Source organism: Homo sapiens, chromosome 1 (genome assembly GCF_000001405.40).
Source record: "Homo sapiens chromosome 1, GRCh38.p14 Primary Assembly".
NCBI classification, from domain to species: domain Eukaryota; kingdom Metazoa; phylum Chordata; class Mammalia; order Primates; family Hominidae; genus Homo; species Homo sapiens.
In genome coordinates this window covers 9338334-9360311 of record NC_000001.11, presented here as the reverse complement: position 1 = coordinate 9360311, position 21978 = coordinate 9338334, and the positions used below count along the sequence as shown (strand labels likewise).

General features: G+C 55.3%; 1 protein-coding gene across 1 annotated transcript in view, besides 3 other annotated features; it reads right to left on the bottom strand.

The window, feature by feature from the left end:
• Positions 1-21978, bottom strand: part of SPSB1 (splA/ryanodine receptor domain and SOCS box containing 1) — a 76639-nt gene that overhangs the window by 9221 nt on the left and 45440 nt on the right. Inside the window, exon 2 of the mRNA NM_025106.4 lies at positions 3727-4569. Within this exon, the coding sequence (NP_079382.2) occupies positions 3727-4420 (694 nt within the window). The 5' untranslated portion in view covers positions 4421-4569. The remainder of the gene's footprint in view (positions 1-3726; positions 4570-21978) is intronic.
• Positions 6679-7594: an enhancer, noted in NCBI's record as "H3K4me1 hESC enhancer chr1:9412777-9413692 (GRCh37/hg19 assembly coordinates)". NCBI's record gives its function as "activates a minimal SCP1, AML or CMV promoter by ChIP-STARR-seq in naive H9 embryonic stem cells {active_cell/tissue: H9 hESC(naive)}" and the evidence as "EXISTENCE:reporter gene assay evidence [ECO:0000049][PMID:30033119]".
• Positions 9169-9668: an enhancer, noted in NCBI's record as "H3K4me1 hESC enhancer chr1:9410703-9411202 (GRCh37/hg19 assembly coordinates)". NCBI's record gives its function as "activates a minimal SCP1, AML or CMV promoter by ChIP-STARR-seq in primed H9 embryonic stem cells {active_cell/tissue: H9 hESC(primed)}" and the evidence as "EXISTENCE:reporter gene assay evidence [ECO:0000049][PMID:30033119]".
• Positions 9669-10170: an enhancer, noted in NCBI's record as "H3K4me1 hESC enhancer chr1:9410201-9410702 (GRCh37/hg19 assembly coordinates)". NCBI's record gives its function as "activates a minimal SCP1, AML or CMV promoter by ChIP-STARR-seq in primed H9 embryonic stem cells {active_cell/tissue: H9 hESC(primed)}" and the evidence as "EXISTENCE:reporter gene assay evidence [ECO:0000049][PMID:30033119]".

Here is a 21978-nt window from a genome sequence, read left to right as displayed (position 1 = left end):
GCCGTCCATGTACTTGACCTGCTGCTACTTTGCCCTTCTGAAAGCCCCTTCCTCACTTGGCATCCAGGACACCAAAATCTACTGGGTCCCTTCAGCCCCCACCCTCCTGGCCTCTAAGCAGGGCTCAGCCTCAGCCCTCTTCTCCTCGCTCTCTAGCCCCTACTTCTGGTGACCTCACCCAGGGTGGCAGCTCTGAAGTCGCCTATGTGCAGACAACTCCCCCACTGACCGCTCTCTGAGACTAGGCTTGCAGGGCCCCCTGGATGTGTCGAAGAAGCGTCTCAAATTTAACACCTGCTCCTCCTTTGGGCTTTCCCATCTCGGGTCAGCAGCCCCCGCCTTCACCTGCTCAACCCAAACAATGCAAGTCACCTTGCTGCTTCCCTTTCTCGTCACATCCGGTCCATGGATGAGCCCATTCCAAAGAGTCCCGGAACCGGGCCGCCCCCGCCACCCACCCCCCCGGCTTCCATCCTGGCCCAAGCTCCCATCACCTCTCACCGGGACAAGCCTGGCTCGTCCCTGGCCTGGCCTCTCAGAGGCCACTCTTGCCTCTGCCATCCATTTCTATAGAGCAGCCAGAATGATACTTTTTTTTTTTTTTTTCCCAGAGACGGAGTCTTGCTCTGTTGCCCAGGCTAGAGTACAGTGGTGCAATCTCAGCTCACTGCAACCTCCACCTCCCGGGTTCAAGCAATTCTCCTGCCTCAGCCTCCCAAGTAGCTGGGATTACAGGTGCATGCCACCACGCCCGGCTAATTTTTGCATTTTTAATAGAAATGGGGTTTCACCATGTTGGCCAGGCTGGTCTCCAACTACTGACCTCATGATCCACCTGCCTCAGCCTCCCAAAGTGCTGGGATTACAGGCATGAGCCACCGCGCCCAGCCGCAGAACGACACTCCTAAGACACAAGATGCTGCCTCAATAAGCGTCCAGAGGTGTCGGGTTAAGCGGGTTGAGGCTGGCAGCGCTAACACCCGCGCCTCACCCTATCACCACGCTGCAGCGGAGTTGTGACAGTGCCCCACCCTCCAATGTTTTGCTCGGTGTCCCAAGAACGACCACATCTATTTTCCAATCTGGAACCTCTAAAGTCAACTGACCACGTGGCCCAGGGCCCATTCATGTCTGACCAGGACTTGCTGGGCATCTGATGCTGGTGGAGAGGAAAAAGCATCCTCGTCACTGACTAATAGCGCCCGGCTGTGATGCTCTGAGTGGCCATCTAGATTCCAGCTCACAGATGCGGTTCCCGAATCCTGATTCCCATTCTCGTATTCCCCACTCACCCAACATCTTCAGGATTTTCCAAACAAGGAAAATTATGAAAGCATCCAACCTCCCATCTCATGCAGAGCTAACTAAGCAGGAAATCGCCTATTCACAGGACATGTGTCTGCACCTCCAGGACTGGGTGGGCGGAACCCTCTGTTCAAATAGGCTCCAGTCCCCTCCCAGCCACTCCAGGGGTCTGTGTACTGTACTGGAGCTATGATACATAACCGTGAAGCTGTGCAAACCCAGAGCTCATGACAGCATCAGGGGGCATGTTCCTGGAGGGCACAGGGCTGGAAATCTTCATGGGGCCCCACAGTCTCAGTGGGCAGGCAACAAGAGCAGGTCTGGCAGTCCCCTCATCTGTCTGTCTGCAAAGAATGGACATTAACCTCCCTGGCTCCGTGACCACCCCATGGCTGGGAGGAGGGAGGCAGGGCTGAGGGTCAGGGCTCCTCAAGATTCTAGGTCCTAGGCAGGATATGCCCAGGGCTCCCAATCTGCAGCCATCCCAGTTTGAGGCAAATTTGGCTGTGGACGTGGTGCCACTCATTTCTGACACCTAGGGAGACAGACACAGAACTCACTCTGCTGGTTCCATTTCCGAGGTGACTTCCCCGGGGAGGCTACCTGCTGGCTGCAGGCCTGGTCACCCACCTCTTCCAGGAGTCCCATGACCTGGGGGCGCCAGGCTGCACAGACGAGGACCAAGCAGCCCTGGGAGCCTGTACCACAGACATCGTGTGTGGCTGTCAACTCACTGCCATCACAGTCAAAGTCACAGCAGAGGACCAAGAGAAAGAGGGGCGGGGAGGCTTCCAAAGAGAAATGTGTAAGCGTTTGCGCATGCCTAACCACCCCGACACTTTCCCCAGTATCTTTCAAAGGCTGACGTGGGGGAGGAGGAGCAGGAGGAGGACCTCCTTCTCCAGGAGGAGAAGCTGCAGGCTTGGAGACTTCAAGACAGAGTCAGCATCTGTATTCCTGACCTCTGGTGGGGGGCCTCACCCCCCTCTGCCTCTTGCCTGGCCTGCAGGGTGGGGTTAGAGCTCAGGGTGCTGAGCTGAACCTGCCCTTTAAGGACAGTCAACCCATGGGTGGATGGAGCTTTCCAGCCCACTTGCTTCCCAACGTGGGACTTGCAGGCGGTAGAAGGGACTCATGCAGGCAAGGAACTCTGAGAGAGGGCCGTACACGGGGTGAGCCGTTCTGCAACGCCAGGCCCTCCTGCTACCACGGACTCCCAGCTGGGCAGCCATGGAGCCTTCACCTCCCACACCAGCACGGTGCCCCTACACATGGGCTGCATTCACAGTCTGAGAAAGGCCACTCCCCTTCCCAAAGGGACAGGTGGAGTTCGCTGTTGACTCAGTCTGTTTCTGATCTGCATGCTCCTCCCCAACTTCATGACTGAAGAAGTCCCTCAGGACTGTATCTCAGAGCCCACTCAGAAGCCTCTGGCAGAAGAGAAAGACTCTAAGCCTGTCTAATGAGTGAGAGAGGTCACTAGCATTCATTTACCGGAGAGGCCCTAGTATCCCCAAGGTTACAAACCCCAGCTCGATGATATGCTGGCAACTGGGCTAGAATTTGGTCAACTGAGGATCAAACCTGGAGGCAGGTCACCCAGAGAAACAAAGACCACCTACTTATTAATTCATCCATCTATCCATTTATCCATCAATTCATTAGTCTATCTGCTTATCCATCCACTCATCCATCCATTCACTGATCCATCCACCCACTCATCCATCCATCCATCCATCTACCCACTCATCCACCTGTTCATTTATCCATCCATCCATCCATCCATTCATTCACTGATCCATCCACCCATCCATCCATCCACTCATCCATCCACCCATCCATCCACCCATCCATCCACCCATCCATCCATCCACTCATCCATCCATCCATCCACTCATCCATCCATCCATCCATCCACCCACCCATCCATCCGTTCATTTATCCATCCACTCATTCATCCATCCACTTGTTCATCCACTCATCCATCCATCAATCTAAACACTCATCCACCCCCTACCCACCCATCCACCCACATCCATCCATCTGTTTGTTCAACCACTTATCTATCAATCCAAACATTCATCCATCAATTCATTATACACGCATCCATCCATTATTCACTCATCTATCCATCTATTCATCATCCATCCATCCAACCAATCATTCATCCATCTATTCATTCATCATCCATCATCCATCCATCTGTCCATTCATTCATGAGGCACCGTTAGGTAATCTAGCTGACTCTGGGTAGAATTCCTCACTTAACCCGATGCAAAAGTTGCCTCTGAGGGTCTGAATACACTGGAATATCGTCTTCAAAACACTCTAGTTCCAATGAATCAACTTTTGGCCTGAGCCCAGCCAGGACCATGGGGACTGAGGGAGGGCATTGCCTCTGACAGCAGAGGAGACACTTACGATCGAGTCCGTTCAAGTAGCGCATTCGGATCTCACAGTGGCCCCAGACGGCACTCACTACAGGATACAGTTTTTTGCCCTTGAGTCCCCGAAAAGCCACTCCCATGTACTGTCCATCCACAATGAAGCTCAGAGTCCCGTCGTCCATGTCCAGGGCTACCAGGAAGGAGTCAGGGACAATGAATGTCTCATCTGGTTCCAGAAAGGCTGGGTATGTTTTGCTTGGCTGGTTCTTGCCATCGTGGTAGAGCCGGTTGCGCCCCAAGTCCCAGCCCCAGGACTCGTGGTTATTCCCCACGAGGGTTGTGTACCCGACAGAGTGCAGGGGGGCGTCTGCCGTCGCCACCCCCACCACGGCGTGTGTGCCCCGCTGTCTCATGGCCCACGTGATCTGCCACACGTGCAGCCCACGGGTATACCCGACTTTGCCCCTGATAGCGTCCGTGCTCTGGGCCACCGGATGCCGGTGAAAGATGAGCTTGTCGTCCTCCTTCACAAAGACATTGAGCGATCGGTCGTTGTTGTTCCATGAATGCAGCAGCTGGACATCATAGGACACAGGGGGCATGTCCAGTAGCAGATCCAGCCGGGTGGGCTTGCAGTAATCCAGACCCTGGAGCTCCTGCTTCAGGGGCCTGTACGTGGGGTCCCTCATGTCCACAGTCTTGATCCCTCCAGTGACCTTCTGACCCATGTTCGCCCCTGGCTTCACCTTCTTACCGACTCCCAAGGCAAACTCATCAATCTCGTGGTCTCGTCTCCAGTATTCTGATCGGGGCCAGACAGAATTCCTAATGAGGGCTGCCAGGAGACCTCTGCAAGCTGCGCAGTGTTCAGTATTGCCTAATGGACGGAAAGACAAACAACCGGTGAGCAGGACTGTGGGATGAAGGGGAAAGTTAACCCGGAGGGCAAGGCGACCACATCAGCATGTCCCAGCAGCCTGCACCTGGGCTCTGTCATGCCTGACACGGGCAGGCTGGAGCCTTGGCGCAGAATGAAATCCCCCGTTCCCTGGCTAGCTGTCACAAAGGAAAGGGTCTGTCTGTCCACGCGGCCGACTGTGTGGAGAGGTGGGCTTGGGGGATGGGCATCACCCTCATCTGTGTTGGGTACAGACACATGGCTGATGCCCACCAAATACCTCATCAGGGTTCCACAGGGCGGAAGGCCATGGTGCCACAGAACCAGGACTCAGCCATGACAGTGGGCATTTGCTTGGTCAAAACAGAGGGAGGTGCATGGCCCTTGCCTTGCGGTTCAGAGGGGAAGTGGAGCCCCAGGTAGCAGCAGAGGCTGCTGAGGATGCCAATCCCAGCTCCTCCTCCCTGTCTCTGGCACAGCTACCTCCAGCAGACGCACCACCAATTCACTGCAGAAAAGGGCCTTCTGGTGCAGCTGGACAGCTCAACTCAGGGGTCTGTGTGCGCTTGGCACGAAAGGCACCAGGAGCCTCCTCCGCCAGCTACATTCTTCTCAAGGGAAGGCCTCGATTCAGACAGCAAGGGGGGCTCATCCCCCGACCCCCGGGATTTCTTAGATGACCAACCACCTTTTTCCTGCCCACACCCTTCAACTAGAAGCCAGGGTTTCGCCCTCTGGGTCTCAACAGCACATCTGGGGAGGAAAGTCCGATGCTAGGATGCCTCGTTCCCTCTCTGGCCTCACCATCCCCTGGGTCCTTCAGGAGGGAGAACAGGGACTCTGGGTTGGGGGAGAGATCTCACTGCATCATCTACCCGATCCCTCTCCACTGGTAGCCCAGGAAGAATTCTTTTTTTTTTTGAGACGCAGTCTTGCTCTGTCGCCCAGGCTGGAGTGCAGTGGCGTGATCTCGGCTCACTGCAACCTCCACCTCCTGGGTTCAGGTGATTCTCCTGCCTCAGCTACGATTACAGGCACCCACCACCATGCCTGGCTAATTTTTGTATTTTTAGTAGAGACGGGGTTTCACCATGTTGGCCAGGCTGGTCTTGAACTCCTGACCTCAGGTGATCCACCCGGCTTGGCCTCCCAAAGTGCTGGCCAGGAAGAGTTCTATTCAAGGAGAAGGATAAGGCAGCAGAAGATTTGAGCCTCGTTCAAGAGAGAAGTTTCTTTCTGCCATCAAGAACCTCCTTGGCCTCTGGAAGGGACCAGAGAGGCCAAGGAGGGCAGCCTGGTTTGGGGTCAGGCTCCTAGGATCAACTAGGCCAGGGGCAAGGCAGGCTCCCGTTGAAGAAATGGAACTAAAGGAGCCTGTGGGGGCGCCTGGGCGGGAGGCTGTTGGAGCCTTGGCTGCCGGGAGAGAGTCACGCTGGGTCGCTTGTTACTAGGGTGCCCGAGTAAAGGAGACAAAGAGAACCCAAAGGAACCCGGGGTAGGGGAGGCTGCAGGCTCCCAGACACACGGAAATCCAGGGACCTCAGAGGGCTGGCCTCCCCCTTCAGTATGGGGCCAGCCAGGGCCAGGCTCTGCAGTGGGGCTGGCCTAGAGCTCCCTCTCAGCTGGGAAGAGGCCCCACGAGACCCTGTTCCCGGGGCGGCCAGGTCTCCAGGAAGTTTGGTCCTGGCAGAACCTTCCCATGCGGGAACACTTGGTGCCCCGACCCCCTTATCTCAGGGGCCAGGTCATGCTTCTCGCCCTCCCCTTTCTGATGTGAGACACAGGGTTCCTTTTTTTTTTTTTGAGATGGAGTTTTGCTCTTGTTGCCCAGGCTGGAGTGCAATGGCGCTATCTCGTCTCACTGCAACCTCCGCTTCCTGGGTTCAAGCGATTCTCCTGCCTATGCCTCTCAAGTAGCTGGGATTACAGGCGCCCACCACCACGCCCAGCTAATTTTTTCTATTTAGTAGAGGCCGGGTTTCACCATGTTGTCCAGGCTGGTCTCGAACTCCTGACCTCAGGTGATTCACCCACCTCGGCCTGCCAAGTGCTGGGATTACAGGTGGGAACCACTGCGCCCAGCCATAGACAGAGGGTTCTGATCTCAGGGGCACGGTCATCTCTTCAGAGCAGGGCAGGACTCCTTGTGTCCAGTGTCTGCAAAGCCATTACAGAGCTGAGGTGTCCCCTCTGCAGCCTAGAGGGCCGCCCTGGTTCCAGAGAGTTCTGTGAATACTGTGACCTCACATCCATGATCTCCCAGGAAAATCCCATTTTCAAGCTTTTAGTTCCATCTCCTCTCCTGGGAGCCACTGAAACCTCTAGGACTCCCTCCATGGCGCTGCAGAGGGACACCCTGTGGCTTTGGGGCCTGCGCCTCAAGCTGCGGGAGGGAAGGGGGAGAGAGCTGGGTCTGGTGTGGTGCGGGTGTGGCCTTCCCTGAATTCCCCTCTTCCCCAACCTCCACTGGAGCATTTTCTGAGCTGTAGGAAGGCTGGGAGGGCCGAGGCGGCTCTCGAGGGGCCGGGCGGGCTGAGGCGGCTCTCGAGGTCAGAGCTGCATGGAGCGGGGGTGCAGAGTACCACCCTCCCATCTGTCTGGACACCCCCTCCAGCTTGGTGCCCAGGAACCTCTCCATATTCTCAATTTTGCAGGGTCCTGTGGGCACAGAGGTCAGCTCCCTGGGAGGACGGGGCAGGAATTACTTTCTAAGAGAGTTAGTTCATGTCACGCTTCCTGCAGCGTAGCCCCTCCACAGCCCCCCTGCCGCTCAACTGTGGCAGCAGGGAGGACCTTTCTCCCGGGATCTCGTCTGTCATGGAAGATTCACCCTCTCTCCACGTGTGGGAGCAGGTGGGAAGAGTGAGGAGGAGGCTGGGGGAGGGAGGGGAGGGTGGGAGAGACAGGTGGCGGGGAGAGGTCCTCTAGCAGGTAATTGAAAATGCCAGGAGGGACCATAACAGGGAGGTTGAGGGGGGAAGAGGCGAGGAGAGTAACACCTCAGAGGGTTGCTCTGAAAGGGTGAAGTGGGGTGAGACAGGGAGGGACGGGGAAGGAGGGGGAGGCAGAGGAGGGAGGAGGAGGGAGCTCTCAGGCTAATAAACCCAGAACTGAACACACAGAACGCCTGTCTCAGCGAGACCGGAGATCAGCTTTTTCTGAAATGGGCGCGATAGTAAATGCCTGGCTTTGAGGGCCAGACAGTCTCTGCTGTTGTCGCACAAAAGCAGCCACAGACGGGACATAAATAAACGCGCGTGGCTGAGTTCCAGAAAACTTTATTTATAAGGACAGGCTGGCCTGGGGTCCGCCAGCCAGAGCTTAGACAGGGCCCTGCATCGTCTCCACTTAAGACACAGCCTTGTGGGGCTGTAGCAGGCATTATCCGGATGGTGGGGAGCGGGGGATCCCCAGAGGCTGGGCCAGCCCCGTCCCAGAAAGAGCCACCAGAAAGGACGGCTTCACCTTGACGTGGGACATCCACTGTCTGTCTGTCCAGGTCGGCTCCACAACCTCTCCTAGTTCTGAGATGCCAGCACCTCAGGTGGCCTAGCAAGTCCTTAACACCAATGCTGGGCTGAGCTCCCTAAACCTAACCTGAACCACAACCCCTCCACCTCCACCCACCTTCCCTCCACCCCCTCACCCCAGCCCAGGCCTTGGACCACATGGCTGTGAGGGATGGGAGTCTGTGGGAGGGAGGGCCTGGGAGGAGGGAGGCTGGGGAAAGAGGGTGGGGCGTTTTCCCCGGGCAGGGCAGGCAGGTAAAGGGGCCTGCAGCACTGTGGGGTGATTCCTTCACAAGGGCACCCCAGGGCCTAGCCAGGGAATGTGGCCCACACACCCGGCCACTTCTGCCATCTGAGTCACCTCCCAGGTGGTCAATCACTGTGGTGGCCCTAGGGCTACTCTTGACTCATCTGTCACCCACCCTGTGTCCAGGCTATGGTTAAAGATGACAGTGCCTTCCCAACTTCCTTTTGTTCACACCTAGCCACCTCCTTGCTGTGCAGGAACACTGAAGCCATCCATCTGTCCTCTTCCTTCTATTTTAAAATGTGGCCGCACAGATCCACCCTTTCTGCGGGTCCCCAGGAGCTGGACTCGCCACCTTCCCTGGAACTGCAGCCTGGAGGGTGCTTCCCCAGCCCTGCTTCCTGAAGCTTCCAAGCTCATGCGCCGAGACAGTAGCTCCGGCCACCAAGATCCACCCTGAGCTTCTCCAAGCTTCTGCTCGTTTGTCTGTCACACACTTACCTAAAACTCAGTGGAGACAGTGTTCCAGAGAGGGCTGGCGTTATTGCATTTCCACTTTCATTTATTTCCTAGCCTGTGCTCCATTCACTGATCAAAGATCACTGTTCTCCTGTCTTCCTGGTCACCACATCTGGCCCTACAGAGGGACGCTGCCTTTGGGCCAAGACCCAAGGACTTGGAAGTCTGGGCTAGGGCAGATCAAGTTTAAGGTCCCTTCTAAACCAGGGGTCAGCAAACTTCTTCCATCAGGGGCCAGATAGTAACTACTTAAGGCTCTCCGGACAATATGTAAATCAATGGGCATGAATGTGTTTCAATAAAACTTTATTTACAAAAATAGACAGTGGGCCAGATTTGGCCCAGGAGCTGTTGTTTGCCGACCCCATGCAAAACTGCTAATACCATCATCACAATTCCTGGACATGGCGCTCAGGACAGGGGGTGTGTACCACCCACAGGTACCAAGTAACATTCACAGGTGCCTGGATGGCTCCTGTTAACACTGGACCAAGACAGACATCCCTGGGCCAGGAGGGCATCCAGCACCGGGCACTACACTTCAGGCAGGAGCTGGGAGAACAGCACAGCTCTGGGACCACCCCCACTTACTGCTGCTCTGAGAAGCAAATGCAGATGCCTAAGCCTTGTGGGGCCCAGCAGTGCCACAGAAGCATCAGGGCCTGGGACTGCTGAGCAGTTGGTGAGTTTCCAGGAGGTGGGAGGACTCAGCCTTCATCCCCACCCAGGAGGAGCAGACGCAAAGGGCGTGGCTCGTACTGCCCTGCAGGGCTGGAACGGGAGAGCAGAGGACAGATGTGGCCCTGCTGCTGCCACCGCCACCCACCACACACACGCATGCACGCATGCCTACATGCACACACATGCACACACGTGTACACTGTGTGCCTACACAGTGAGAGCAAAGGCAGCAGCTGAGACTAACAAGCAGGACAGAGGCGTCATAGTCCAGGCAGTGCCCTGGCCGGCGGCGCCTGCTCTCCATTCCCTTAGTGAAAGTTTTCATCCCCAAAAGCACACTCTTGCATTAGTCACCACGTCCCCAGGACCGCGCCTGCCTCCTCCTCTGCACAGCTGTCTCAGCCAAGCCCCACAACAAACCAATGCCTGGCCTGTACCCCTCCTGCCCCACCAAACTCTACTCACTCTAAATAATGACAGTTCTCCTGTCCGCAGCCCTCAGGCTGCAAGGCTCAGCTGTCACACGCAGGGGTCCAATGTCTGGTGCTTCCTGAAGACCAGGTTGTAATCTCATCACAGGCATAAATGCCGTGAGGGTATTTCAACCAGGAGAAAGAATGTGTGTGTGTACCTGTGCGGGTGGTAGGGGTGTGTGTGTGTGTGTAGATATGTGAGGCGTGTATGTATCTGTGTGTGTGGTGTGTCTGGATGTGTGTATATGTGTGTGGTGTGTCTTCATGTGTGTATATATGTGCTGTGTGTGCATGTAGGTACACGTGTGTCGTGTCTGCCTGTGTCTGCGTGTGTGGCGTGTGTCTGTGTGTGTGTATGCATATGTATGTACAGGAGCTCTAACTGCAGGACCGTCCTCCTCATGGGTGACAGGGAGCTCACCAGTCACTCTGGGTTGGGAACTCCTAGCAACATTTTCCCACAAGTAAGATCAGATTAAAGTAAAGATCAGGAAGGGTCAAGAGAGAAAAACAGCCATAAAACGGTGGGTTGGGAACTCCCGAAAGGACCTTCCTCACACAACTGGCCCAGAGGCCGTGAGTCACGGAAGACAGCTGCATCTCATCTGGATCGAAGAGTCGATGCTGGTGGCGGATTGTGTGTGGCACGAGTTCCCTGACACTCGCTCAGGACATGTCCCGTGGATAGCTTCCTCCTGAGGAAGGCAGGCAAGCCGTCCACCCACCCACGCTCCTGCACGCCTTGTGTCAGAGATCAGCTGTCAAATCTGACACGCATCTACGGCGCTGGCGCCAAGGCCTCAGCCTCTCACGCTCCACGTCCCTTGGCCTCTCTGGTTGAGCTCAGCTGGGACAGCCCCCTGACCCCACACTCACCTACCCCCACTCCTGGCCCGGCACAGCTCTGGCCCCATCGTGCCACAAGCAGGTGGGGGATAAAGGGAGAGGACACGTCACCAATATCAAAGTCGAGCACGTGGCGGGAGCGTCTGTCTCATGCACGGGAGGGCTGGGCTCGGGGAAGCAGAGAGGAGCGAAAAACGGGATGCAGGCAGGAACCATGGCCCGGACCCTCAGAGCCGGAGAGCAGCCACGGGCCCTGGAGTCACCTTGGCTTCCCCTGCAGAGGGATACACACCCTGGAGGAGATTCTGCCTTTCCTACAACACAGTGAAGGCCATTAAAAGCTCTGGAGGAGGGGGAGGGGCTACCTGCGGGGACACCAGATGACACGAAGCCCTGGGGTTTGGCTTCAGTGAACTTCTTCTCCCAGTGGGAGGAATACCCCACCACTACACACACACATGCACGTGCACACACGCACATATACACACACACACACACACACACACACATTCTTGCACGAGTGAAAGGGGATGTCCCTTACATCCTTTGACGGCAAAAGCCCTCAACCCAGTGTTTCCAGAGCAGCCATGGGACGGGGTGGGTTGGGGTTCCAAACACCCATCAGAGCCGCGTGACCCTACTGGATTTCTCGGTGGCAGCCTGGGCTCTAAGCAGATGAGCTTCTGAAAGCCCCGTACTCCCTCGGCCAGCTTCGAACAGCCATTTAAGGTTGTCTGGGTCCAGGAAAAAGGCCATCTTTGGATTTGCTGGGGGCCCCAGATCTTAGTAGGAAGGAAGAAAAGAACCTCGCAAATCCCTCCAGTTTCGTGGGCTCCTCCAGGTGGGGGCAGCCAGGTCTGCAGATACAGAGGGAAGGAAGCCTGGAAATGAATGCTGATCCCAGGGGATGGGGAGGAGTCAAAAGCATCCCCAAAGTGCACTGTTTGGGAGTCCTAGACCCGGGACAGGTGAAGGGCACCTGTCTTCAGCCTTTAATGATCTAGGGCAGCCATTCTCTCTGAAGGCTGAGGGAGCCTGGAGGGGCAGGAGAGGCAAGGCAGGTCCCTGTGGTCAGAGAGCGCCTTCTGGATACAGCCACGGTTTGCTTTCATTATGCAAGGCACAGAGGAATGTGATGCTAGACACAGCACTACCGCCGAGACAGGAGCGAGACAGTGCTGTGGGATGCCCAGGGTTAAAAAAAGTTGCCGCGGTGGCTCACGCCTGTAATCCCAGCACTTTGAGAGGCCGAGGTGGGCAGATCACCTGAGGTCAGGAGTTTGAGACCAGTCTGGCCAACATAGTGAAACCCCATCTCTACTAAAAATACAAAAATAAGCTGGGCGTGGTGGTGAGCACCTGTAATCCCAGCTACTCGGGAGGCTGAGGCAGGAGAATCACTTGAACCCAGGAGGCGGAGGTTGCAGTGAGCCGAGATCGCACCACTGCACTCGAACCTGGGCGTCAGAGCGAGATTCTGTTTAAAAAAAAAAAAAAAAAAAAGTTGCAGGGAAACTGCAAAGAAGGTGGGGAAAGGACACTCCTACACACTGTGGGTGTGTGTTGAAGGGGGACAGACCCTGAACTGGGGCAGCCTTCTAGGTGTGCAGGTACAACGAGGCAGTCCCTGTCCATGTGCAAAACGCCCAGCAATCACCCAGCAACAGCCCTTCCAGGGCTCTTGTCTACCAAACCCTATAGGCCTCCACAGGGACATGAGGATGAAGATGCTGGGGACAGCATGAGTCCCACCTCATCTACACCACGGAGCTCCATGCAGCCCCTCCAAAGTGGTGACGTAACAGAAAATGTAACACGATGCTGTCGCATTTGTAAAGCAAATCACAGAACAATATGCAGATCATGATGCCGTTTCTGAAAGAACAGAATTTAAAAAGATTCTCTCTGCGCCTATTTATGTTTGTAGGTACAGAGAAAGGTCTAGAAGGATAAACATCAAACCTTTCACAATGGTTAATGATTGTGGGTGGGAGGGAAAAAACGCTTTTTGAATTGAATTTTTTAAAATGCATGTATTCCTTTTCAAACTAAAATGATTTTTAAGCACACAAAAGAGAATCAAAGGCTGAGAAACAATGATTTCACACACTATGTTTGCAAGAACAAGTTATTCCCAAAGCAATTCCTACAGGTTCTGCACCTGTGTTGCTTTTATAAAGCAAGCACAGCGTAATGTGTAAGCACTATTGTCCTGAATGCTTTATCCATGAAGGTACGTGTTAAGGATCCATAACTGGTAGAAGGGCGTTTAAAACGCTTTTTTTTCTTTTAAAGAGACAGGGTCTCACTATGTTGCCCAGGCTGCTCTCTTAACTACGAGGCTCAAGCAATTCTCCTGTCTTGGCCACCCAAAGTGCTCGGATAACAGGTGTGAGCCACCATGCCCAGCCTGGCAGAAGGGTATTTAAATAAAGGATGAGAATCCTGGGGAAGCTTTGGGGCCATCCCGAAGAGGGACATTATTTCTACAGTGATCTATCCCAAGACTTCCGATTATACTGTTTCAAAATTACAGATTTTAATTAGCCCCGTAAAAATGGGGCGGCTGTCTCTCTCTACTGACCCAGAACACAAGAAGAGAACAGCTGGTCCGTCCCCATACCCAGCCAGGTGGCAGCTGCACAGCAGCTCTGCATGTGGCAAAGGCCAGGTGAGGTGGCCCCATCAGAAACACCGGTGGCTGTTCCACCCCTGATAGACCAACGCCAGGGAAGAGGAGGAGGTGAGGAGGAATGAGGCACTGAGAGCAGACCCTGGGGGAGGCTGAGACAGGCCAGACTGCACAGCACCTGCCGGCAACCCCCCGATGGTGTTTCAATTAAAGCCACAACCCTGCAGACCCCACCTTCCCCCAAAATGCTTTCAGATCAATTGTTCCCGAGCCTTGCTTCCTCTAAAAATTACCTGTTTGTGGTGGTGTTTTAGGAAGAGGTCTGTTGAAGGAACGGCTACACCCTCTTTTGGGGATGTAGCCAAAGCGACTGGGGACAGACAGACAGAAAGGGCAGGTAAAGGATGCACAGAGGTGGGTCTGTCACCAGCGAGTGGCAGACACTCACCCACCTCCTTACACCCAGTTCCTCCACAGTGTGTCCGACTGACCCCAGAACAGTAAAACCATTGTTTTGCCCCAAGATGGGGAAAGAATGAAATTCAGGATGTGGAACAAGGTGACCTATTTATAAAGCCTCCTTTCACCTGAAGATCACGTAAGTTCCCTCCCTCTGCCGCCCCGTCTCACACATCAGTGGTGGCAGCCCAGGATTTTGCAAGAGAAACATGCCCCGAGCAATCTGCTATTTTATCAGAATCAATCTCTGCAGCCTGGCTCAGCCGCTGCCTGGGCTCTGCCCGCTCACTGGGGTTCTGTGCTCCCTCCAGCATCCTGAGCATGAGTGGCAGGGACACTCTTGGTGGTGGAAGGGCTCGGGGCATGCTCCGTGCTGGCTGGGCCATGGAGCCCCTGGCAAAGGGGCCACCACCAGCAGGGCTTGTGACACGTGGTTACCACCCTCCACCCCTCACCCTGCCAACTGCCAACTTGAGGAGGGACCCCTCAAGGAGGGATATAAAAATAAGTCTGTGCCCCTAGAATCAACAAAAAAGAACAGGATCCTTCTGGAAAGTTCTGACAAGTGATTTTGGAGAGAAAATCCCACACGGTCCAGAGCTCTAGTCCCTGACCTCAAAAGACCCAAAATGCACCTGCTGTAAACACCTATGGAAGGGCCCAGATGACTCACAGCACTTTCAGAGGGCTCGAATCAGTGGAGCCATGGCCTGGGAAACCAGCATGATAGTCAAACAGACTGAAAATTACAATATATCGCAGCTGTAGCTTAGTCAGGGTGGCGAGGACAACGGACTGTGCCTGATGCAGACGAGAAGCCAGTTCTTGAGGGACCCCAGGGACACACAGCAACCTTCCCAAAAGGTGACCCAGACAGCAGCAGACATGCCCTCCCACGGCAAGAGGAATAAAACGTGGACTATGGACCACCGACACTGCCTAGCCTCGGCGGGTAACACACTGGGCCCATCTGGTTCACACAGGAGGTGGGGCGCCCCCAAAGAGTGGAAGCAGAAAGGCAGGCCCAAAAGCAGCCCCACGGCCATCTCCAAGAAAAGAGCCACCAACAGGGTACCCACGGGGACAGGCTCAGAGACGCTGGTGCTCTTTGCCCTCCAACCCCCAGCAGCTCCCCAGAAGGCAGGAGACGGGGGCTTGAGGCAGGGTGGATCAGGTGGGCCCAGTGACTCCCAGGAGGAGGCTCTGCAGAGAAGCTGGTTCTCTGGAAGGGCCTCGCTCCAGCCTAGCCTCCTGTGGGACTCCAGAGTTCAGGGCTGCCTGGCCTGAGAGGAAGAGGCTGGAGTGCATCCAAAGTCTGCCACTTTCCCCCAACAAGGCAGTCTCTTGGACATAGGGGATCCGACCAAACCCAGGCTTTCAGGGTGCCAAGGCCTGAATGGGAGCCAGTGACACTCTGACCTCTCTCCATGGGATGTGCCAGCTGGCAAAGGTCACCTCTGGGAGTGGTCCTTGGGTCACCCTCATGTCCCTCCAGGGATAATGAGCAGCAGGCTGACCAGGAAAGGACCGGGGAAGGGATCTGAGGACTCAGGAAGCATCAACCCAGAGAGATTTCAGGGGCCACCACCCAGCCTACGTGACAGTCAGGGGGCCGGGCATCCACTCATCCGCCCCCTGAGGCCCAGGTGGCTGCCCTCAAACCACCTGGGGGAATAAGAATAAGAAGGGCAGCGTTCATGATGTCACCATAGAATTGCCTAATAAAGCTCCAGGCACAAAGTAAGAGCTTCATACATGCTGCTCCCTGCCCTCCTCCTGCCGCCTCTCAACACCTGAGGCTATCAGGGGACACCTGATAGCTTGGAATCGTGAATGCCAAGTGCAGGAGAGCGCTCAGCCAGGGAATGCCATGGCAGGTGCTGGCCCTACAACTCACAGGGGTGACCCAAGTTGCTCGGTCCCGTCACGAGACCCACAGGCCTCCCTCTGTCTGGCGGTGAGGAAAGGCAGATGGAAAGGCCCTGTTTTACAGGAGTGGTTCTCAAAGTGGGGTCCCAACCAGCAACATCAGTCAGCGTCACCTGGGAACTCAGAGATGCAAATTCCTGATCCCGTTAGACTTTCTGAATCAGAAACTCCACGGGGCAGCCTGCATTCTAATGAGCCCTCCAGGGAACTAGGATGAGGCCAGAGATTGAGAACCACTGGTTTCAAGGAATTATGGCTCAACAGTTTAGAATCTCAGATCCCTATTAAATGAAAACCATCAGGATTACACTTGTACCATAATTTTTAAAAACTTATCTTGGCCAGGTGCGGTGGCTCACGCCTGTAATCCCAGCACTTTGGGAGGCCGAGGTGGGCGGATCACAAGGTCAGGAGATCGAGACCATCCTGGCTAACACGGTGAAACCCCATCTCTACTTTTAAAAATACAAAAAATTAGCCAGGCGTGGTGGCAGGCGCCTCTAGTCCCAGCTACTTGGGAGGCTGAGGCAGGAGAATGGCATGAACCCAGGAGGCGGAGCTTTCAGTGAGCCGAGATCGCGCCACTGCACTCCAGCCTAGGCAACAGAGCGAGACTCTGTCTCAAAAAAATAAAAAACAAAAAACCTGCTAATGGGAAGGATCTCTGTACAAGAGCACAAGGGAAAAGGTTTCCCATGTCAAGTGAAAAAAAGGTCACAACTGCATCTGCCGTGAGACTAAAACCTAGAAAAAACTGTATCGGCATACTCAGGAAAGAGGTAGAAAGGAGCCCGGAGAAATGAAAATGTCGCTGTGTTTAGAGTGATGAGCTTATGAATTCCCTGCCTTTTAAACTTCTTTACTGTTGTCTTGTTATTGTTGCAAAAACATAAATGGATGAGCCCAAATGTCCATCAATGGATGCATGGATAAACAAATTGTGGTATACACATTCAGTGGAATATTATTCAGCCATAAAAAGGCATAAAGTACTAGTGCATGATACAATGTGAATGAACCCCCAAAACTTTATATTAATGTGAAGGAAGCCAGATATAAAAGGTCACACATTGTACGATTCCCTTTCGACGAAATGACCAGGATAGGCAAATCCATAGAAACAGAAAGCAGACTGGCACTTGCCTGGGGCCAGGAAGCAGGGGGATGGGAAGTGACAGAGGTTTCTTTTAGGGGTGATGAAACTGTTTTGGGACTCGAGCCTCTTTTAGGGGTGATGAAACTGTTTTGGAACAAGACAGAGGTGGTAGTATACTATATTGCGAATGTACTCAATGCCATCGAATTGTACTCTTAAAAAGGTGAATGTTATGTGAATTTCACCTCAATAAAAACAAAACACATAAATGGATGAAAGATGTCTACCTCTCCAAGATCTATCTATATCTCTCCAAGATCCACATGGACAGGGGGTGGGTGTGGATGGGGGTGCAGGGCAGAGAGAGGCACAGAACTTACAGAGACCTGGCTGTTTCAACTGGGCTTATTAGCCAGGGTTACACAAAAGGACACCATTGATGCTCAGATGTGGGGAGTGAAGAGCCTTCGAGAGCAGAATTGCTGCAGTCCAGGCCTCTGCCCCCTCCCCTTTCTGTTCTCCAAAGGAAAAAGTGCAGGGCTGTGGTTTGGCAGCCCTTGCTGCCCCGAGACAGCACCTGTAGATGGAGTTTCTCCGGAGGAGTCCGGGATGTGTGCCTGCATCTCGGATGTGTGCCCCAGACCCCTGGGCCCAAACTGTGGTCTGGGGAGGGGATGACCCCGCGGGCTGGCGGGGGATGAGGACATGGGAGAACCGATGTCAGGGTGATCACTACACTGGGAACAAGGCAGGATGAGGCGGGAGAGGGACGTTTGGATTCCTAGGCGCCTACTTTCTCACTGAGCAGGTCAACACCCTGAGGCAGCTCCAAACTGGCAAAGGCCCTACCTTCTGCTATCAGCGAATTGACAAGCCACTGGGATCCTCCGTGCTCTCCCACGGTTGACGCTGGGGCCTGACTGCCACTATGAGCTGCACCATGGAGCTTCTGCCCACAGCTAGGGGTGCCCCAGGCTGATGCACACAGTTTCTGGACTTGTCACTACGCAAACCTCTTCTCATGGGTTGCATTTCTTCATTCTCACGGAGGGATCGTCACTCACAGGCCTGGCACAGCCCAGGTGTCTCATGCCAGGTGCTGCCACTGCCCACGGATCCTCTCCTGGCCAGGCTCACTCACATGGAACATGGGAAGTCGGCCGAGAACTCCACCATCTGAGGCCTGTGCTCTGAGTCGCTTGCTCACCCACCCCACAAGTATCTGCTAAGCCCCTAAGACAGGTTAGAATGAGCTTCTCAAGACCTTGCTTTGTTTCTCAGTCCCTGAGTGCCTCAACAAGGTGGCCAATTCAAAACACAGGCCAACTAGGCTGGGCGTGGTGGCTCACGCCTGTAATCCCAGCACTTTGGGACCCTGAGGCGGGCAGATCACCTGAGGTCGGGAGTTCGAGACCAGCCTGACCAACATGGAGAAACCCCATCTCTACTAAAAATACAAAATTAGCTGGGCGTGGTGGTGCATGCCTGTAATTCCAGCTACTCAGGAGGCTGAGGCAGGAGAATCGCTTGAACCCGGGAGGTGGAGATTGCGGTGAGACGAGATCGCGCTATTGTACTCCAGCCTGGGCAACAAGAGTGAAACCCCGTCTCAAAAAAACAAACAAAAACACAGGCCAGCGTGGTCACCGTTCAGGAAGGGAGAACAGGCCTTCCTCCGAACTGCTAGAAAACATCTCTCCCAAGAGGAAACTGGAAAGAACAAACAACATGGACAAGATGTCACCGGCAGAAGTGACCCAACCAGAGAGATGGTCTGGCAATGTTCAGCTGGTGAACAGTGGGAAAACACCCAAGTCCAAATAATGTGCCTCAGGGCTGGAATTCATTCCAAAAGTATTAAGCACCTACTGGATACACAGAACAGGCAGAACTTGCTGCCCTCAGGGAGCTCAGTCTAGTGGGGGGAGGCAGGCAACACCCAATCATCTGAACAATGAGTGCAAGCTTCAGGGGAAGGGGCTGCTGGCGGAGGTTCTACCTGCATCTCCGAACTCTCCCCCACTGCCTCCCTCATGCCCTTGGGAAGGGGTGGCAGCCTGGACATAGGTCTGCAGTGCCCTGGTGGGGAGTGGTGTGTGTACCGTGCCTCTCTGTTCTGAGGCCGGGGGGCCAGGACCTAAGTACTGCGGGAAGTTTCTCAGAAAAGCAACTTGGATCTGGGGTGTGCCTATTCCATTTATCACATTTTGAGAACACAAGGGGAAGAAAGGGGAAGTGGAAAAAAGGGAAATTGGCCCAATATCCATTGAATGGGCTAGTCCAGGCCAGCAATCAGGGCCCGAGGAGGAAGAGACAAGAACAGAGGCAGTTGCTTGTCCCAGCAGAGTCAGCCCAGTGTTGGAAATTGAAGCCCAGGACTGGCCTTTTGAGCTAGACCAGTCTTCTCCCCTTCCCACTCTGCCTCCCCGCACCGCAGCCAGGTACACAGGAGGACTACAAATGTGCGTTTCATGTGCTCGCCTTGCTGGGCAGAGCTGCTCCGCGACATCAGACAGGCTGCGTTGAGAAAGGTATTTCCTCTGCAAGCTGGACTTTCCATAAAATAAAAAACAGCAGCATGTTACCTTTGCAGGCAGAGGGGCGAGCAGGGGACGGGTGCATCCCACGCCCCTCGGTGGCAGGGAAGGCCGGCCACATCACAGCACAGGCGGCTCAGACCGCAGACCCAGGTGCTGCGGGGACCCTCCCCAGCCCCACAGGCTGCCATCTTCCCGCCAGGCGTGGAGTTTCCACAGCTGGAGGAGGACCAAGGTCCTCTCTGCCGAACACACTATTTCTAACATGGTCCCAAGTTTCCGTTCCCATATCAAAAGCGCCTCTTTTCTGCTGAGGCAGCAAGACCTGCCAACAAAACAAACCTCTGGGACCCACGTTTTCATAACACAACGCCTTGCCTTGACATGCACTACAGTGAATCACTGAGGTTTAATTGTATCGGCAGCTGGGCTGGTGGCAGGAATCCGTGTGAAAGTCAGACCGCGGGGCTCCGGCCAGTCCCCAAACACCAGTGTCCCTGCCTTCCCCCCCAGGCCCCTCCTCTGCTGATTGACAGCACCCCTTCTCTAGGCCCCCAAATGGAAAACCAGACAGGAGAGAAAGCCTGCCCAAGGAGAGTCTGTCTCCTCTCTTGAGAACAGTTCCTACAGGGGCGAGGGAACTGGTCACCCTGCGTGCCCTGCACCCGGTGACCCTAGGGCGGCCCACAGACCATCACCCAGGAGCTTGCTGGAAATGCAGAGTCTCGGGCTACTGCCCCTGAATGGCACTAGCCCCAGACCTCTGGGTGACCTGCATGCCCAGGTGGTTCAGGGCTGTCGGTGGGGGTCCTCCCGAGGTGGGGGGCTGGAGGAAACACACATCAGAAGGAAAAGGTGGAGGGGCTCCCATCCCTCTCCAAGCCAATCCTAAAATACAACTGACCTGAACCAGCCACATCTAGAGGCCGACCTGTGCCACGGAAGGAGCAGGCAGCTTCCCCTGTCCTGCCACCAGGTCCACAAGAATGGGGGGCAGGGCACATAAACAGGCTGCCGATCCCCTTGCCCAGACCCTGTAGAAGCCATCAGTCACTCGGGGTCTGGGAAGACAGAGGTCAGGGCGACCCTGCTGGAGGCCCCTCCCCTCCTCACAGGGTCCCTGCTCTCCACCTTCCAAGCCCCTGACAGGCCCTCTCAGCTTCTCCAAAGGTCCCTTAGACACCAGTGGCCACACCAGCCCTGCTAGTCCTTAAGAACCACATGAGTTATAACGATGTTCTTTTCACTTCAAACAACCCCATCTGACAGGAATCCCATCTGTGTGGGATCTTCCAGGGGCCCCTCCTCCACGGAGCCTTCCCTGGTTGGCCTCCACTGCAGCCGTCTCAGAGCACCTCTCCGTCGCCTCCAGACTCGCCCCGGAATTACCTGAGGACCCTGGGTCCTGCCAGAACCTGGCCTGGCGGTGAGTCACAGCCCTAAGTCCTAGCTGAAGTCCACGCCCCACCCGAGACCACCCACATGTGGCTGGCCAGTGAGCATTCTCAGGGTGTCCCAGATACCTACCGGGGGACCTGGAGTTCTCGAATATTCTAGGCAAGTGCCTGGGAAAAGACCCAGGAGAAAAGCCCCACAGGTCCTCACCGCTGGGGGGAGAATGACAGAAGAGGGGTGAGGGCAGGACCTCCGGAGCCCCCGCAGTAGGGTCCCCAGGCCTGCCTTGCCTGGGCTGGATCAGCCCTGGCCGGAGCAAGCTCCACCGTCTCCAAGGGGAAGCGGCCCTTGGTTACCACTGGCCTGGAGAACCAGAAGGCAAAACAAACACTGGAGGCCGCTCCCGGGCCCAGACTCGATCCTCACTGCTGGGAACAATTACAAGGTAATCGGCCGGGTTTTCCAGAGTCCTCCAGAATGGGGCCAGGGTGTCCACGCTCCTGTTCTGTGGCTGCTGCACCCTCCCCAAGACCCAAAGACCCCCTCATCCCATTCAGGAAAGCACAGCAGAGCAAGGCGGGAGCGCCCCCAGGAAGCTGGGGCGAAGGCAGAATCGTGGCCCACGCCACCCACGTTTCACAGCCACGAAGTCATATGGGGGAGGTGACGCCCCCTCAGACCTCAAAAGGCGGCACTGAAGACCCCAGCCCTGCCTGCAAGGCCAGACTCAAAGGTGAAGCCAGCACGATTCCCTTCCCAGACCCTTTTCCAGCTGTGACCAACTCTCTGGTTCCCAGGCAACTTGTCCTGAAATGAACAGAAACTCACCAGCAAAGAAGAAAGTATACTTCCTCCTGGGCGAGGCCGGAGCTGGCAAGAGAGTGGCCAGGGCAGCATCTGGCTGTGCCCCCTGTCCTCCCCAGCAAGTGCTGTCCTGGGTGGCCTTAGGTACACTGACCCCCACAAGTGCTGTCCTGGAGGGGCCTTAGGCGCAGCCAGGATAGCCTAGGCATGGATCCCCAACTGCCTCCTGTCACAGCACACCCAGAGCCCCCATACAGTCAC